Below are 19,943 nucleotides of genomic sequence, written 5' to 3'. Positions count from 1 at the left end.
AGGAACCTATAAGGGAGAGTTTAGAAATTTATTACTAATCCATGCATGTTGAGATACAATTCCCCTATCACACAATTCATCCATTCAAATTGTACAATTCAATGTTTTAAATTTATTCAGAGTTCCACAACACTATTAACACAATCGATATTAAAATTTTTTTCATCATCTCCCCCCCAAAAAAACATAGCTATTAGCAGTCACAGCCCCTATTTCCACACAACCTCCTCAGCCCTAGTAAATGATTAATCTGCTTTCTTTCTCTATAGATTTCCCTATTCTGGGCATTTTATATAGAGACTCATATGATATGAGGTCGTTTGTGAATAACTACTCTCAGTATAATGTTTCTGAGGTTCATCCTTGTTGTAGTGTGTATCAACACTTCATTCCTTTTTATGGTCAAATAACATTCTGTTGTGTGACTAGGCTGCATTTTACTTATTCATTCACTGGCTGATGAATATTCAGGTTGATTTCACCTTTTGGCTGTTATGAATAATGTTGCTGTGAACATTTATGTACGTGTTTTTTTTAGGACTTTTGCTTTCAATTCTTTTGGTATACACCTAGGAAAGGAATTACTGGTTCATAAGAGAACTCTGATTAAACTTTGGAAAACTGTTTTCCAAAGCACTTGAACAATTTTACATTTCTCTCCAAACTATATGAGGGTTTTTCCATATCCTTGTCAATACTTGCTATTTTCTGACTTTTTAATTCTAGTGTGTATGAAATGCTGTTTCATTTTTTTCAATTATTTGTATTATGGTAAAATACATATAACATAAAATGTACCATCTTAACTATCTTTAAGCGCATAGTTAAGTGATATTAAATACATTCATCATGTTGTATAACTATCACCACCATCTGTCTCCAGAACCACTTCCAACTTGTAAAGCTCAACCCCTGTCTCCATCAAACACTCCCTCCCCATTTCCCCTTCCCCAGCCCCTGGCCACCAGATTCTACTTTGTCTCTATGACTTTGTTGACTCTAAGTAGCTTTTGTAAGTGGAATCACACAGTGTTTGCCTTTTAGTGACTGGCTTCTATCACTCGGCATCATGTCCTCAAGGTTCATCCACATTGCTGCCTGTGTCAGGATTATTTTTCTTCATTTTAAGGATGAATAATATTCCTTTTTATGTATATACACCACATTTCATTTATCTATTCATCTGCTGGTGGCCTCTTGGGTTACTTCCATGTTTTAATTATTGTAAATAGTGCTGCTATAAAAATGAGTATACAAATATCTCTTTGAGAATCTGCTTTCAGTTCTATTGGGTACATAATCAGAAGTGGAATTGCTGGATCATACAGTAATCCTATTTCTAATTCTTTGAGAGGCAACCATACTGTTTTCCACAGCAGCTTTACCATTGTATATTACCACCAACAGTGCACAAACGTTCCAATTTCTCCACATCCTTGCTAACATTTGTTATTTTCTGTTTTTAAAACAGTAGCTATTATAATGGGTGTGGGTTGGCACCTCATTGTAGTTTTTCTGTGCATTTCCATGATGCTAAGCATGTGTTCTGAGCATGTTTTCATGTCCTTAGTGGCTATTTGTGTATCTTTTTTTTAAAAAAAATGTCCATTCAAATCCTTTGCATAAGTTAAACATCAGGTACCTTATTTGTTAAATTTTAAGAGTTCTCTGTATATTCCGGATATTTATCCCTTGTCAGATATATGATTTACAAATATTTTCTCTCATTCCATGGATGCCTTTGTACTGTGTTGATAGTGTCTTTTGATACACCAATTTTTGAATTTTTCTTAAAGTCCAATTTGTACAATTTTTCTTGTGTTGCCTGTGCCTTTGACATCATATCCAAGAAGTCACTGCCAGATCTAACGGTGTGAAGCTATTGTCCTATGCTTTCTTCCAGGAGTTTCACAGTTTTAGGTCTTACCTTTAGGTCATTAATCCATTTTGAGTTAATTATTGTATCTGATGTTAGGCAAAGGTCCAATATCATTCTTTTGCATATAGATACCTGGTTTTCTCATGCCATTTGTTGAAAAGACTGTCCTCTTTCCAACGAATGGCCTTGGAACTCTTGTCAAAAATCATTTGGCATAGATGTGATGATTTATTTCTGGGCTCTCTATTCTGTTGATCTATACATCTGTCTTTATGCCAGTACCACACTGTGTGACTACAGTAGCTTTGTAATGAGATTTGAAATCACAAAGTGAGAGTACTCAGTTTTGTTCTTTTTAAAAATTATTTTGTCTAGTCAGTGTCCCTTGACATTCCACATGAATTTTAGGATGAATTTTGCTATTTATACAAAAAAATGTTTTTGGAATTTTGATAGGGATTGAGTTAAATCTGTATGTGTCTTTGAGTAGTATGGACATCTTAACAATACTAATACTTAGCAGTACTAATACTGATCCATGAACGTGGGATGTGTTTCCATTTGTTGATGTCTTCTTTTTTAACTTCTTTTGGCAATGTTTTATAATTTTTATTGTACAAATCTGTCACATTATTTGATTATTCCAAAGCATTTTACTTTTTAATATTATTTTGAACAGAATTGTTTTTATGATTTCCTTTTCAGAGTGTCCATCATTAGTGTACAGAAGTGCAATTGATTTTTGTGTTTTAATTCTATATCCTGCTACTTTTCTGAATTCATTTACTGGTTCTAACAAGTTTTTTTGTGTGTGTGTGTGTATGTGTGTGTACAGCATTGTTAGGGTTTTTTAACACATAAAATCATATCATCTGTAAACAGAGATAATTTTACTTCTCCCTTTCCAATGTGTATGCCTTCCTTTCCAATTTGTATTTATTTTTCTTGCCTAATTGTTCTAGCTAGAACTTTCAGTACTATGTTAAATAGTAGTGGTGAAAGCAGGCATCCTTGCCTTACTCCTGATCTTAGGGAAAAAACTTGTGGTCTTTCACCATTTAATATAATGTTTACAATGGTTTTGTTTTTCATATGTGGCTTTTATTATGTTGAGGTAGTTTCCTTCTAGTCTGAGTTTATTGAGAGTTTTTAGTCATGGAAGTGTGTTAAGTTTTCTCAAAAGCTTTCTTCATCTAATTGAGATCACGCTTTTTACCCTATTCATTCTGTTACTATGATGTATTACATTGATTGATTTTACATATTGATTCATCCTTGCATTCCAGGAATAAATCCCACATGATCATGGTGTATATTCCTTTTAATATGCTGCTGAATTCAGTTTGCTACATTTTGTTGAAGATTTTGGCATCGATGTTCATAAGGGATATTGGCCTCTAGTTGCCTTTTCTTAGAGTGTCTTTGTCTGGCATTGGAATCAGAATAATACTGGCCTCATACAAAGAATTAGAAAGTGTTCCCTCTTCTTAAATCATTCAAGAAGGATTAGCATTCATTTCTTAAAGTTTGGTAGAATTCACCAGTGAAGCCGTGAGGTCCACAGGTTTTCTCTGTCCAGAGATTTTTGGTCACTGGCTCAATCATGTTATAAAAGTTATAAATTTACTTAGAGTTTTTCATTAGTTAGTCTTGGTAGGTTTTATTTTTCTAGGAATTTGTCCATTTTAACTAGATTATCCTATGTATTAGCATATAATTATTCTTAGTAATCTCTGTTAATCCATTTTTATTTCTGTAGAGTTGGTAGTACTGTTCCCACTTTTATTTCTTTCTTTTTCTTAGGAAAACCCACTTTCACTTTCTATTTTAGTAATTTGAAACGTCTCTTTTTTTCTTAGTCTATGTAGCTAAAATGTTATCAATTTTATTGATCTTTTCAAAGAACCAATTTTTTGTTTCACTAATTTTCCTCTATTATTTTTCTGTTTTCTATTTCATTCATCTCTGTCTTCATCTTTATTATGTAGTTCCTTCTGCTAGCTTTAGGTTTAGCTTGTTCTTATTTTTCAGTTCCTCAAGTTGTAAAGTTAGGTTTTTTTCTTATTTTTTTAAAGGGTAGAATTAATAGCTATACATTTTTCCCTTACAACTAGTTTTACTGCATTTCCTAAGTTTTTGGTTACTTTATTTTGGTTATTTTTTTGGCATGGAATCTTTTTCCATTCTTTCCTTTCAAGCTACTTTTGCCTTTAGACACAAGTTACATAAGATCTAAAACAAGTCTCTTGTAGACATCATATAGTTAAACTTTTTATCCATTCTGACAGTCTTTGTCTTTTAATTGGAGAGATTAATCTATTTACATTTAAATTAATTTCTGATAAAAGGGATGTACTTTGGTCATTTTTCTATTTATTTCTTACATATCTTATAAGGACTTTGTCCCTCATTTCCTGCATGTCCTGTCTTATTTTGTGATTAGTTAACTATTTGTAGTGAAACATTTAAATTTCTTTCTCACTTCCTTTCATATATACTCTATAGCTGTTTGTGTGTTTTTAGTTACCATGAGGATTATATTTTACATCCTAAAATAAGAACATTTTTATTTAAATTTATACCAGCTTAACTTCAATAACATACAAAAACTCTGTTCTTTTAGCAGCTCTGTTCCTACCTTTCGATTGTTGTTTTATTTCTATTTGAGATCATGTTTTTTACCCTGTTCATTCTGCTACTATGTTACAAAATCACATCTTCATACATTCTGTACATCGAAGCATTAAGTAATAATTTCTTTAAGTGTATTAGTCTCAAATTGTGTAGGAAACAAAATGTAGAGTTTTAAACCATGTTACAATGATACTATATAACTGACAAGTATTTACCTTTGCTGAGATCTTTATTTCTTTATTCAGCTTTGAGTTACTATTTAGTGTCTTTTATTTCATCTCACAGGACTCCCTTTAGCATTTCTTACAGGAAAGGTTTACTGGTAAGAAACTTCCTCAGCTTTTATCTGGGAATATCTTAATTTTTGAACTGTTCCTTACTTTTGAAGAACAGCTTTGCTGGAGATAGGGTTCTCAGTTGATAGTTTGATTGTTTTGTTTTTGATTTTCCTTTTAGCACCCTGAATTTATCTGCCCACCGCTTTCTGGCCTCCAAAGTTTCTGAGGAAAAATCTGCTATTAATCTTACTGAGGATCCTTGTATGTGAGAGCTACTTCTCTCTTTCTGCTTTCAAAATTCTCTTTGTCTATTGAAAGTTTGGTCATAATGTCTCTGTGTGACTTTCTTAGAGTACATTGAGCTTCTTGGATCTTTATATTCATGTTTCTTCAAGTATTCTCTCTGCCTCTTACTCTTTCACTTCTACTTCTGGGACTCCCATAACATGTATGTTGGTCCACTTGATGCTGTCCCACAGGTCCCTTAGTCTCTTTTGCCTTTTCTTCCATTAAAAAAAATATATTTCTCAGACTCAGTGATTTCCATTTTCCTGTCTTTAAGTTTGCTGATCCTTTCTTCCATCTGCTCAAATGTGCCTCTGAATCCCTCTAGTAATTTTTTTAATTTCAGTTATTTTACTTTCCAGCTTCAGAATTTCTTTATTTCTTTTAGGTTTCCTATATCTTTATTAACATTTTCATTTTGTTCATATATTATTTTCTTTACTTTCTCCACATCTTTCTTTAGTTCTTTGAGCATCGTTAAGACAGGTGTTTTCAAATGTTTGTCAAGTAGATCTGCTATCAGGTCTTTTTCAAGGACAGTTTTCTGTTGATTCATTTTCTTCCTTTAAATATGCCACATTTTCTCATTTTCTGTATGCCTTGTAACTTCTTGTTAAAAACTGGACATTTGAATTTAATACTGTGATAACTCTTGAAGTCAGATTCTTCATTTTTCCCAGGGTTTGCTTGGGGTTTGTTGTTGTTAATTTTAAAATATATGTATATATTTTTTCTTATTGTGGGCTGTCTCTGTGCCAAGGATGAGACTGAGCTGTAAAATGAAGGTCCTCTCAGGTCTTTTCTGAGCCTGCACCTTTCCCTGAGCATGTGTGGTCACTTTCTAATTCTCTCCATATATTAAGTTGCTTCTGAGTGTCCTAGTCTTTAATGTCTGGCTTCCAAGGAGGAAAAAGTAAAATAAAGGGTTTTGGGTGAAGTGTGCCAGCCTTTTAAATACCTTGGAAGTCACTTCTGCTGGTGGAGGTGGGAGGCAAGGGTTGGGACAATGGGTAAGATGCAACAGTGTCAGCCACCACCTTTTCGTCTGCACCCCTGTTATCAACAGCTGCAATCAACATTCACAGCACAGCTTCCTCATATTTGAAGGACAGGGTCTTTCTCCGCACTCTGATTCTCACAAACTGCATGCAGCCTGTTCCAGGAACATGTGCACAGCTTTCACCGCAAGGTTGGGGTGGAGAGTGGGTAGCTGCTACTGTGCTAGAGCCAAAATTAACCCAAATTAACCACACTTTACTGTCCAAGCCTTTACCTAGAAACCGCAAACTTTCAATGGACTCCAGAGTTCCAAAATAGTTACATCAGAAAGATTTTGCCAGTGCAACTGTTATCTAGGTGGGAATACAGATTTCTGATGTTTCCTTCTCCACTATTTCCTCCAAACTACTAACACTTTTAATTTCTTAATTCCCTTTATGCTGGAAAATAGCGATGCCTTATAAATATGGCTTATACATACATTTTAACAGGTTTCCAAAAGATCTCCTATACATAGTCTTCCCAATGCTCACAAGTACAAATCGAACATTGTATCTTAAATTGCTGATCAATGGCAGAATCATTCTCTGTAACCCAGGGCTGTTCTAGACCTGATACCATAAATCATTCAACGTTACTGACTCCTTTTCCCGAGACAGGGTCTGTAAACCAGGGCTGTTCCAGACCAGATACCATAAATCATTCAACGTTCCTGACTCCTTTTCCCGAGACAGGGTCTGTAAACCAGGGCTGTTCCAGACCAGATACCATAAATCATTCAACGTTCCTGACTCCTTTTCCCGAGACAGGGTCTGTAAACCAGGGCTGTTCTAGACCAGATACCATAAATCATTCAACGTTCCTGACTCCTTTTCCCGAGACAGGGTCTGTAAACCAGGGCTGTTCTAGACCAGATACCATGAATCATTCAACATTCCTGACTCCTTTCCCCGAGACAGGGTCTGTAAACCAGGGCTGTTCTAGACCAGATACCATGAATCATTCAACGTTCCTGACTCCTTTCCCCAGGACAGTGTCTGACAACCAGGGCTGTTCTAGACCAGATACAATATATCATTCAATGTTCCTGACTCCTTTCCCTGAGACAGAGCAGACAGAGATTAGGCACATCCAGCACAACTTGTCTCTCTCCCATGGCAGCACATGGGACTCTAAGGAAGCTGGGAAGCTGTGCTGTTTGAGGAAATTGAGTTGAAAGTTCTTTACCTCAAATGGACCCCTTACTTGTCAACCTCACCTGCTGCAAGTCTGGGCATAAGGAGATCTTTGTTTCAGGCAGTTCATCTTATTTTGTTTTTTTAATGAATACTTACTTTACTACCATTTTCCAACCTTATTTCCTAATGCTGTGCTTACCCACATTGACCTCCTCTTACAGGTGCACATTCTCCACACATTTAAAGACTTCCCTAAAACTCTGTCTCTAGTATACCATCATCTACCACTCCAATAACAATTATCCTTTCTCTAGCCAAATTCCTACCACCATCATTTTCTTGGCTACACCAGGAGACATTTTGGACTATTCATTTTGGACTGTCCTCTTGTGGTCCCAAGTCTCTATGCTTTACCTTCCCAAGAGGACTTTAGGTCTTTAAGGCCAGGAACTACGGCCCAGGACTCTTGTACATCACCCTAACGTTTGGGAATGAGCTCACAGCTGGCATTTAAGGTGTCAAGATGAAATGGCCCCACTTCCCTTCAAGGGTAAAGGGACTGTCAGAGCATGGCATGCCTTAGGTCCTTACAACAAAGACTAATGAATATCCTACATGCTCGGGGTACCTCTGGTGGATAAAAGGGAAGTTAGCAGGGTAAGGAGAAGACCTTTATGAGCAGTTTTCTCCTGGAGAAGCTAGGGACAGTAATCCCACCTTCACTGGGTCGTAAGAAGAATCGAGTGGGTCGCGGAATGAGAAAATGCTTTGTAGAATACGCAGTGCTGCAGAATTGTACTTTACTTTTGTTGTGTATTTTTGGCTTTCATCCCCAGTAGATCCCTAAAAGTCAAGCACATTAGGGGATGGTTCTTTAGAGCACCGCATCCAAAGTACTTTCCCCACCTCCTGTTCTGACTCCCCCTACAACCCACCGCCCCAACACACACACACCAAGGTGTTATACAACAGCAAACAGTGAGGGCGCACAGACAATAAGAAACAACCCTGCTTCATCACACATCTCTCTTGCTCCATCATCATTTTCCGTTTAGGACTTGAGCTGTCCACGAAAGAAAGAGAAAGGGCTCTGTTATATGTCCAGAACTTTCCTCTGTACTTGTCAATTCTCTTAGTAGAAAATAGAGGTTATAAAAAATACCAATTGGTCATACTTTCCAGGAGAAAGATAAATAATTAGGAGTCCATTTAAACACACATGTAATGACTCAGGACCATGTTACAAGCCCAAATATACCTTTTCATGCTCTGAAAACTGAAAAGGTAAAGAGTAAGATTTGGGATCTCAGAGACATGCATCAGGGCCAGCCAGTGTGGGCATGAGGTTGCGGTTGCTGATCTCAAATGTGCAGTCCTCACACAGGCTTGAGGTTTGGATATCTATCTGAGCAATTCTCAATTTTGTCTTTAGCATGGGCTGGAGTGTCCACAGGAAAGGCTGTTCTTTCAGGATCTGAGCCCATCTGTTCCTAGTTGACACCAAGGTTTGAAAAGTGCAGACCCACATGAAAATGAAACTACATCGACTGCAGCTTTTAAAGTTAACCAACCTTAATTGGGACTCAAAAGTATTCTAATTTCGTCCAGCTTTGGTTAAAGGTTTGGAACCATTGGTGTTATTGCACACAAACGTCTATGATGAATGTAGGCTCTTAGATGGAGAACCAAGGGAAATAAAGTTGCTGATGCTCAACTTGAAGGAGTGACGTGCTCCAAGCAGTTCCAAATGTTTCATACATGCAGAAACGCTAATTCTATAATATGTATTAAAATCCCTTGAAGTGTTGATAACTCTTGACCCAACAATTTCACATCCAAAATATATGTGAAGAAAAAATCAGAAATGCACATAAATTATTATGTACAATGTTGTTCTCTGCAATATTATTTTTAGTAGTAAAGTAAATTTTAAAATTAAATGTCGACAGTAAGAGTTTGGCTAAATTATTATAAATATATATGTATGTATGTACACACACACATCTATATATATTAAAGTACCAGCTCATTTAAAATCATGTAAAAACCATAGAAAATATCTGTTATATATTTTCAAACAAAATATTTTAAAATACAAATATAGAATATGACCCCAATTTTATGTATACCATACATAGACACACACACACACACATACACACACACACACAGGATAAAAGATTGCCAACTGCTCAGTACTGCAAAACTCTAAATGTTTAATCTCTTAGTAGTGATATTACAGGAAAACAATAGCAAAAAGTAAATACACCAAACACCCAGTGAAAAACAGAAACTGCCATGTTCTCTTCAAATAGGGTTAGACATCACTTTCTCGTCTACTCAGTGATTAACTAGTGAGTGATTGATTAACTATATATCACGAAAATTGTGGGTCAAAAACACTCCCATCATAGTTATTTCCGCCATATCTGTTAACTCCCAAATCTAAAGTGCAGCCAAGACTCTCATGTATTTCCCAACTGCCTCTGCACAGTTGGAGATGGTTAAAATAAAAATAGAGTTTGAATCAGAAATCAATATATTAAATCCTGGTTCTATCTTTTTACGCTTGTGTGTTATTGGGTGACTTCCTAAAACCTCTCCAACCTCATCTCTGTACCTGTGAGACCGGAATGGTTCTGGGAGACCACGTGTGGGAAGGTCCCAAGTGGACTACGGTTAGCAAACCTCAGCCCTTCCACGCCTCCTGGTCCACCTGCTCCTGCCTGCCCCTCAGTTAACGACACAGACCCCCGTGAAGCCCACGCCTGGAGAACCCTGACCCCATTCCCCTTGGCACCTGTGCCCACTGCCCAGCCCTGCGGCTCCCACCCACTGGCTCCGGAGACGTTGTCTCCCTCTCCTGCCTATTCCACCAATACTGCCCTTCACTACTTCTTCTTCTAACGCCGAGCAGTGTCCTCGACCCACACCAGGTCTCACACGTGGCCTCCCTGGGCCACAGACGCGTGGGAAGCAGGTCTCAGTTCTCGTCCTCTGTCCCCGCTCTGGACTCACCCTCCTGTCTCAGTCCTGACACTGCCTTCCAGACCCATGTGCCTTCATGCCCTGTCCCCCAAGGCAACGCTGGCCATGGCCTCCTCTCCCCAGCCTGCCACAGGTTTACAGAACATCTCACCCGTCTTGCTCAGAGCCCGCATGAGACCATGCTTCCCTCAGGGATCACGACCTGGTGGGGTGGGGGAGGGATTGAGCAAGGTTGTACGCACCACGTGTTTCCACCTGTGCCTGGGACATTGGCACCTGCTCTCCAAATGCTTCAGGAATAAATGAGAGTGAATTTAATCTACGTCCACAGAGAAGAGGAAGGAAAGGCATTGAAATGTGACATCCATCAAACATGCCAGGACTATCCAAGCTGCCTTCCACACACTTCAAAGTTTAGCTTCTCCAAAGCAAGGGTGAGGCCAACGAGCCCCAGATCACCCACAGCAGGGCTGGCATTTGAACTCATCTTCCCGATTCCAAACTCCTCACTAGACCGTGGTTTCCTAAAATGAGAAACCAGCTGACAAGAGTGTATGGCATGAGTGCTGACCTACCATAAAGGGATCTATTCTGAAGCTACAGCCACAACGACCTTACATTCTTTTTTCTTCTTTCTCCTCAAAAATGTATCGGAATCCTTAGTTCTAGATGAGAAGCTTTCTAGGTAGTCAGCAGTATGGTATCACTTACAAACATAAAGGAATCACAAATGCATCCCCATAAGTATGAAACTGTAGTTTAGCAGTCAAAACCTCTTTATGGCACTTCAGTATCCAAATACGGAGTAATATAAATGCCTCAAAAGGTTAAGGACGTGTCATTTGTTACACGTTTTCTACACAGAACATCAGCAGCAATAACTGTCGTGTCCTACCCTGTTCTGCTGGGCTCGTCACTGTGCTTTACCGTGTGTATCAACGATGCCCCTGGAGTTGTGCAGTGCACAGCCTGCGCAGCTGTGCCTGGTGGTCTTGGCTGTGGCGCTATCAAGGAGGCAGTTGTATACGTCTCCGGAGGTTTCAGTGGACAGACACGTTTGTAAATTATCAAGCACAAATAGTATTTAAAGGCAGGGACATAGCGGCATTACTGACAGAGAGCTTGTAGAGAGAGGACAGAGAGGCCAGAACCAAGCGGCCAGACCACACCAGCAGAGAGAGCTCAGACGCAGGAGCTGGAGCCTGGAAAGGAGGCTGAAATGGACCCATCAGTGGAACAAAATCACGAGAGGGTGGAATCAGCAAAGGGCAGCAGGAAATGCTGGAAGGAGGAGCGGGGCACTGTGAAAGGTGCCCCAGGAAGCCCCAGCCCAGCTGGCAGCTCTAGGTCAATGCAGCCCTTATCGTCCCTCCCCCTTATGCACAGGTGCACAGAGCAGATGCTCAGTATTGGCCTCCCCCATAAAACGTGCAGGAACCTGCGAGCTGTAGGAAGCCAGGATCGGGTCTGTGCTCCTTCCCCAGGGGGCTTTCCTCCCCACCTGTGCTAAATGCTCACTATTGAATGAAGCAATCCATCAATGCACGGATGAACAGAGGAAAGAACAAAATCCCACCACTACACTGAGCCCTCACACAAGCCTGCGTGGAGAGTGGAGAGGCGAATGGGTTGTTATGCTAAGTCCTGGATTTAGAAGGGACTGAGATGTGGTAAGGTCAGTGATCTGCCTAACGTCATATAGCTGGGAAGGGACAAGACTCTGTCTCCAGGCTCCAGATCCCATTAATTTGCAGCACACATGCCGTGCTGTCCCAACAGGCAGCAGCCCCCTGCCCTCCTTCCTCACACACACGCTCACACCCACTGAGACACACAAGACACTAGTGCCAAAGGAGTCTTGCTTGTGAGAAGACACTTTCCTTGGCAGCACTGGCTTTGCATAGACTGTGCCCTCATCAGTTACGGTGACCTGTTTCAGCCCTAACTATTCCTCTCCCAAGTAGGGATGACAAGGACGGCCTGCACCAAATTCTCAAGTTTTGGTCTGTTTCTAACAAAGACAGAGTCGCTGGTCTTCTCTGTCACCTGGAGTTCAATGCGCTTCCAAAAGTCCTGCCCACACAGTCACCTGGAGACGTTTCAGGTAGAATCCAGACCTGCACCATGCTCCTTCAAGAGAATAAGCAACAGGCATCAAGGAAGTGAGAGAAGGTAACAGTATCGTTTCACAGGCTCACCGCAGGGCACACAGGTGGCAGGTAAGACCACAGGGCACACAGGTGGCAGGTAAGGGCGGTGCTGCAGGGAAAGGACCTGAGCAATGCCAATTGGGCCATGACACCTGGCAGTGCCCGCAGTCCCTGCTGTGCCTGGAGGGCTTGAACTTTCGAGCCATTCAATACCCTTCAGTAATGCCAGAATCTTATAAACATGTAGGGAGATCCACTTTCTGGCCACCCTGCTCCAGGCATCTGCCTCACCCAGGAAGGTCTCAGTGGTCTCAGCCCTGATCCCACTCCCTGCTCTGTCCACTGGAATTCTGCCCTGGGGCAGCATCCAAACTGTAGTCACCTTCAGGGGTGGAGGTTGAATTTACAATCGTACTCTTCATCTTAACACACCAAAGGGCTGCTCAGCCAAAGGACAAAGGATTTTGCAGTGTTGGGCAATGGCCAGGGGACAGTGGAAGAGGGTTTGTATGAATCGGAGCCTTCCCCGGTGCTGTAGCATCACAGACGCATCCATCAGCAATGATTCTGATGGAAAGAAGACTGAGCACCAAACAGTGTGGGAGGAGGTGAGGAGAGAGCTTCAAAACATCACGATGCTCCAGTGCAGTGCTTTTGAATGAGAAATAGCATTTCCCCATTTCCCCTATAGTATTAGTAAAATATGAAAAGAAAAAAATTGATTCTAAAAAATCTAACTTTCTTCTGCAATGTGTCCTAATTATGCCTTGGAGGGGAAAAAATGCCTGCATTCCCAACAATTTGCAAGAGGATGATAATTTTACTAAAGACTCAAGATGTCCAAAAGCAATAGCATTTTAATATTGCAGCAACACGGAAAGTCTTATCAGAATAAACATGTGACATTGTTACCTTAAGCAGCCACACTCATAATTCAAAGATGAGAGTCTGCTGCCCATCCTACAATCTCCAATACTTTTTAAAAAATGTCTTTTAAAAAAACTTTTTTTGTTAAGGGAGCAATTTAAAAATTGTTAATTGCAGTGTTGGGCAATGGCCAGGTGATAGTGGAAGAGGGCATAAAAATAAATATATACACCAATAGAATAGAGTAGAAGTGCCAGAAATAAGCTCTTACATATACAGGCAAATGATTTTCAGTAATGATGGCAAGACCATTCACTGGGGGAAGGGACAGTCTCTTCAACAGCTGGTATTCGGAAAACTGGGTATCCACATGCAAAACAACGAAGTTGGACCCTTACCTAACACCACAGACAAAAATTAACTCAAAATGGATCAAAGACCTAAACCTAAGACTCAAAACTATAAAATTCCTAGAAGAAAACATGGAGGAAAATATCTTGACATTGGCTTTGGCAATGATTTCCTGGCTATGACCCCAAAAGCACAAGCCATAGCAGGAAAAATGGATAAACTGGACTGCATCAAAATGTAAAACTTCTGTGCATCAAATGACACCGTCATCAGAGTGGAAACGCACACACGGAGTGGGAGAAAATACTTGCAAATCATGTATCTGAAAAAGCAACTGCTATCCAGAATATGCAAAGAACTTATACAAGTCAACAACAACAAAAATAACCCAATTGAAAAATGGGCACAGGACTTGAATAAGAAAAGATGCTCAACATCATTACTCATTAGGGAAATAAAAATGAAAACCTTCCAATGAGCAATCACACCCAACCCATCAGGATGGCACTATCCAAAAATAAATACATACATACATAGACAAATAAAAAAGAGAAAGAAACACAGAAATAACAAGTGTTGGTGAGAATGTGAAGAAAACAGAGTCCTTGTATATTCTGGTGGGAATATAAAATGATATAGGCACTATGGAAAATAATACGGTGGTTTCTTGAAAAAGTAAAAGTAACCATTTGATCCAGCAATTCAACTTCCATGTATATATCCGTGAGAACTGAAAGCAAGGTGTTGAAGAGATACTCATGTCCATAGCAGCATTAGCCCAAGTATCCACGGACAGATGAAGGCATAAGCTAAAGGTGGTGTATGCATACAATAGAATATTACTCAGCCTTGGAAAAGAAGGAAATGCTGAACTATGTTACCGCATGAATGAACCTTGAGGCCATTATGCCAGGTGAAGTAAGCCTGTCACAAAAAGACCACTACTGCATGATTCTACATATATGAGGTACTTAGAGCAGAATTAATAAAGACAGATTGATAGAATTCTCGGAGCAAACTGATAGAGACAGAAAGTAGAATGGTGGCTACTAGGGCTGGGCTGAGATAAACGGGTCAAGTTTCGGTTTTGCCAGTTGAAAAAGTTCTGGATATCGGTTGTGCGACAGTTATATCTCCTTAAAACAGAACTCAGCCACACACTTAAAATGCTTACGATTTTTAAAAATGGTTAAGATGATAAACTGTGTGTGTATTTTACTTCAATTAAAAATGTTTCATGAATTACAACAATATTACAAAATTTAGCAGATGTAATAAAATTTATATATAAGAAACTCTCAGCATCTCACATTTGATATTCCTTATTTGTTTCATGTTTGGGTAAAAATTATTCTGGAAATGCCTCAAATGACAGTGAAGAAAATCTATACTTCTCTTTAATTATCAATGTTTTGGCATCTGTGGCTTTGGATGTGTCAAATATGACTTCATTAAGAAACAAATTTCTATTCCATGGAACCCTGGAATAGAAATCCTTTTTTAAAAACATAATTATCCTTGTTTAAACATAGAACAAAGTAATGTCACAGGATACCCAGTTTATTTAATTTAATTTAATTTTTATTTATTTAATTTTACTTTTTTCAGATGGAGTCCTGCTCTGTCACCCAGACTGGAGTGCAGGGGCACTATCTCAGCTCACTGCAACCTCAGCCTCCTGGGTTCAAGTGATCCTCCCACCTCAGCCTCCTAAGTTGCTAGGACTACAGACATGAGCCACTAACACCTGGTTAATTTTTTGTATTTTTGGTAGAGACAGGGTTTCATCATGTTGCCCAGGCTGGTCTCAAACTCTTGAACTCAAGCAGCCCACCGACTCGGCCTCTCAGACTGCTGGGATTACAGGCATGAGCCACTGCGCTTGACCAGGAGACCCAGTTTAAAAATTGGGTTTTTTAAGGAAATTAATTATTACAAATATATACCACAAAATAGCTTCACTAACAACAGGTATTTTTTCATTAAAATGTGAAGACGCTTTATAACGGAAAGAGTAGGAAACTATGTCCAAAAGGACTCACAGCAGAGACTGATACTGGCAGACTGAGACTGTGATTCTGAGACCTCAAAGTGCAGGAGGATCACCACAAAGCCACACTTTAGAACAAAGCATGTTCCGGCTCCGCCCTGTAGATTCTGGAGCAGGGGCTCAAGAGAGGATCCAAATCGCACTTTTATCCAGCCTTGTGGGCAATTGTGATGGAGATTAGCCTTGGCTCACAGCAGAAGGAATTCTGCACTGAAGCACACAGTCACTTATAAAGGCCAATTTTGGGAAAATGAATATATTTTAAATTTCATATGTATTTTCTGTGAGCAGATAAAACTTAGAGAAAATTATTGTTTCTAATTTAGTCTTCCAACCCAAGACAACGAGAAAGACAAATGCACAATATCACCGAATGGAGTGGAAATTTCCACTGGACATCTTGAAGCAGTGAGGGAGCACTCCTAACGAGGCTGCAGCGGTGAGGACGCACTCCTAACGAGGCTGCACGTGGGACCTCTTGGCACTGCTGGCCATGTGGTCAGTCTCTGCAAAAGTCATCGGCTCCGACCAGCTCTGCTGGCCATGTGGTCAGTCTCTGCAAATGTCATCGGCTCCGAGCAGCTCTGCTGGTGGAGAAGCAGAGGCTTGTGATTTGGCTTTCCGTACAAGCCTGGGTTTGCACGATGATTTGAATTGCTAAAGTTTATTGATTTCAGGACACCATTTACGAACAGAAAGATTTACAAAATTGCTTCTGTATTCAAACCCTGACCCTCTGAATTCTATTGATCCCTGAAGTTCAACCAACCAAGTCTGCATGTTTATATAAACTAGTGAACCCCTATCCGTTTACAAAACACACTAAATTACCCCTAGCAAAGCCTGTCCCTCCTTTCAGTTTTGCCAAACTTTCCTCGGGCGAAAGCACTGCTCCGTTAGGAAGTTGCAAAGAGTAAGAATCTGAGACCCTCCAGGGGTTCCACCATGACTGAAACCGCTCCTTCCCAACAGGTTTCCTTCAGGGAGCAGTGGCAAGGCCCTGGAAGGACTGGCTCTTATCTCTTTTTACCAGTGAGGAGCCTGATGAGAACCAGCCCCTTTCATCAGGGCAAGGACTCTTGGAGTAAGAACAGAAGGGCCATGTTGGCCAGTGCCACAGCTGGGTCTGACCCATTAGAAACAAGAACAGGAAGAAGTGACTGTGAGAGAAACACCATTGGATCCATCAGCCAAGGTTAGCCAGACCTGCCTTAGATAAGTAATCCCAAAATGCCAGCTTGTATCACCTGATGTCTGTATGCGTGCTGCTTCTAGAGTTTCTTCTTGAGACGAAAAGAAACAGAATTATGGATAAAACTGCTTAACGTATTAAACCACTATTTAAAGACATTACTGAGAGTTGCAGAAATGAGCTTTACAAATAAAACCTTCATAATCCTCCGGGTGTGGTGGCTCAGGTCTGTAATCCCAGCACTTTCAGAGGCTGAGGTGGGCAGATCATCTGGGGTCAGGAGTTTGAGACCAGCCTGGCCAACATGGTGAAACCCCGTCTCTACAAAAATACAAAAATTGGCCAGGTGTGGTGGCAAACACCTGTAATCCCAGCTACTCGGGAGGCTGAGGCACGAGAATCGCTTGAACCCGGGAGGTGGAGGTTGCTGTGTGCAGAGTTCGTGCCACTGCACCCCAGCCTGGGCGGTAAAGCGAGACTCAGTCTCAAAAAACAAAAAACCTTCATTGTCAAGACCAGCATTCAAAAGAATTTCTAAATGGTGCCCACTGCCCATGGCAGGGAGAAGGCAGTCGGTGGGGGACGGGGGGAAGGTGGTGGCAGGAGTGGTTATAGGTTTTCCTTAAGGAACATCTGCACATTCTGAATGGGGGGATTCCCTTGGCTCCAAAGTTTTGAAAATCACTGACCTGAAAGTCCTGCCAACACTTTAGAACATGTGCTTCCGGAATTCCAGCAAGGCTGGCAGAGCCCTGACCATACACATTCCTCACCTGCTGCGATCACCATGGGAAGCAAAGAACCCGCAGCGCCCTGTGTCCCTCGATATAAATCCATGTGTGCACAGCAGGATGGTCTGTCTCCAGCTCCTCATGGTGCTCATTGTTGACACTGACTCAACAAGAAAGCCTTCATTGAGCCAAGGAGAAAAGAAGAGTACAAACCTCAGAGCCCCCCTGAGTTACTTTTATTACAGGGTAATTATCAGTGAAATGCATCCACTATTTTTTAAAAACAAAACAACACTTGGTACTTTCTGAGAAATGTAGATAGATTTGCAGATAACTTTTTGCTACAGTTTTATAGTATACAAAACTATACAATATGTACATATATTGTAAATCCTTTTGCATAACAAATAATACATTAAATTTTAAAAAATCTATATAAGGATAGCATACTAGGAGTATCAAAAGGAAAATAATCATTGATCAACAGGAAAAGTAACCGAATAAACTCAATAGGACATCTCACATAAAAATATAATTTGGTATGGCTTTAGTGAAATCTATTTCACATACCATAAAATTCACCCTGGTCAAAAATGTAATTTTTAGGGGGAAGATTGCCTGAGCCCAGGAGTTTGAGATCCGCCTGGGCAACATAGTAAGATCCCATCTCTACAAAAACATTTTTAAAAATTAGCAGGTTGGGCCAGAAGCGGTGGCTCATGCCTGTAATCCCAGCACTTTGGGAGGCCGAGGCGGGTGGATCACGAGGTCAGGAGATAGAGACCATCTTGGCTAACACAATGAAACCCCATCTCTACTAAAAATACAAAAAAAATTAGCCGGGTGTGGTGGTGTGCACCTGTAGTCCCAGCTATTCGGGAAGCTGAGGCAGGAGAATCGCTTGAAACCAGGAGGTGGAGGTTGCAGTGAGATGAGATTGCTCCACTGCACTCCAGCCTGGGCGACAGGGCGAGACTCCATCTCTGAAAAAAAAAAAACCTTAGCAGGGTGTGGTGGTGCATGTCCCCCAAGTGTTGAGCCCAGGAGTTCAAGGCTACAGTGAGCTGTTTTGCCGCCAGTGCACTCCAGCCTGAGCAACAGAGCAGGACCCTGTCTCGAAATAAACGTGTGTGTGTGTGTGTGTGTGTGTGTGTGTGTGTGTGTGTGTGTGTTTGAGAGCACTGATTTGTTAAGCACACTCCCACTGCAGTCTGGACGGCAGAAGTGCTGCAGCTCCCGAAACGTGGAGTTCCCACCCATGACATGACCAGCACGGCGCTGCTTGTGGGGAGCCTGTCCCTTCGCCCGACCGCAGGATGTGGCTGCAATGGCGCAGCCCTGCCCAGCATCCTGTGGGCAGAGCTCAGAGTAGACAAGGGAACGGAAGACACAGCTCCCTTTTCCAAAAGGAATGTTGGAGAAGCGGCTTGGGATTTACCGCCCCACCGGGCTATTCACCATTCCTTGGCCCTGCTGAAACATCCGGGAGAAACCAAGCGTCCAGGATGACTTTGACTTTTGGCGCTTCTCCCCATCCCGCTTCCTCCCTCCACCGGCCTTGGCCGACATGGAAATAAACATGTTGCAGGTGCACCCTTCGTGGAGCTGGGGTTTTGAAGAATTCGTCCTCTGGGACAGATGCAGAAAGCCCAGACAAAGCGCATGCACAAATACTATGACAAATATGCTGTTTTTCTTGAGATTTTTGGAAACTCACTACAACTGAGAAGAGCAAAGGGAGAAAGTTGGAAGTGACCTCCTCATCTCCTGATCCAGCAGGCAGTGGCCTGACAATGAATGCCCCCTCCAATGCTGCCCAAGTGTCTCTCAACCCTTCCCCCACCACCAACCCACAGAAGCGGCTGATCTGCCCTAGAGGAGCCCCTGGAGCAGGGCACGAGAGCAGGACTCCAGCTGTGGGAGCGGCATCCAGAGCACCCCAGTTCCAGCTCTCAGAGCAGCACCTGGCTTCATCCAGAGCACCCCAGTTCCAGTTTTCAAAGCAGTGCTTCCACTCAGAGCCCCCCAGTTCCAGCTCTCAGAGCAGCACCTCGCTTCATCCAGAGCACCCCAGTTTCAGCTTTCAAAGCAGTGCTTCAACTCATTCAGAGCCCCCAATGTTCCAGCTCTCAGAGCACCTTGCTTCATCCAGAGCCTCCCAGTTCCAGCTCTCAGAGTAGCACCTCGCTTCATCCAGAGCCCCCCAGTTCCAGCTCTCAGAGCAGCACCTCGCTTCATCCAGAGCCCCCCAGTTCCAGCTCTCAGAGCAGCACGTCGCTTCATCCAGAGCCCCCCAGTTCCAGCTCTCAGAGCAGCACGTCGCTTCATCCAGAGCCCCCCAGTTCCAGCTCTCAGAGCAGC

At 41.5% G+C, this 19,943-nt stretch overlaps 1 protein-coding gene and 1 long non-coding RNA gene across 5 annotated transcripts in view, besides 1 other annotated feature; both read right to left on the bottom strand.

Annotated features, from left to right (window-relative positions):
• SMOC2 (SPARC related modular calcium binding 2) overlaps positions 1-19,943 on the bottom strand; it is a 226,809-nt gene that overhangs the window by 182,102 nt on the left and 24,764 nt on the right. The window lies entirely within an intron of this gene.
• LOC124901466 (uncharacterized) lies at positions 5,459-15,233 on the bottom strand. The gene is made up of 2 exons (XR_007059884.1): positions 6,762-15,233; positions 5,459-6,686 (listed from the first exon to the last, which is right to left on the bottom strand). It is a non-coding gene; the product is annotated as an uncharacterized LOC124901466 (long non-coding RNA).
• Positions 15,045-16,244: an enhancer, noted in NCBI's record as "CDK7 strongly-dependent group 2 enhancer chr6:168870327-168871526 (GRCh37/hg19 assembly coordinates)". NCBI's record gives its function as "activates an origin of replication core promoter dependent on BRD2, BRD4, P300/CBP, MED14 and CDK7 cofactors, with strong dependence on CDK7, by STARR-seq in HCT116 cells {active_cell/tissue: HCT116}" and the evidence as "EXISTENCE:reporter gene assay evidence [ECO:0000049][PMID:35650434]".

The sequence above is a fragment of the Homo sapiens genome, chromosome 6 (assembly GCF_000001405.40).
Source record: "Homo sapiens chromosome 6, GRCh38.p14 Primary Assembly".
In the NCBI taxonomy this organism is placed as follows: domain Eukaryota; kingdom Metazoa; phylum Chordata; class Mammalia; order Primates; family Hominidae; genus Homo; species Homo sapiens.
This window is presented reverse-complemented; position numbering and strand designations above follow the sequence as displayed.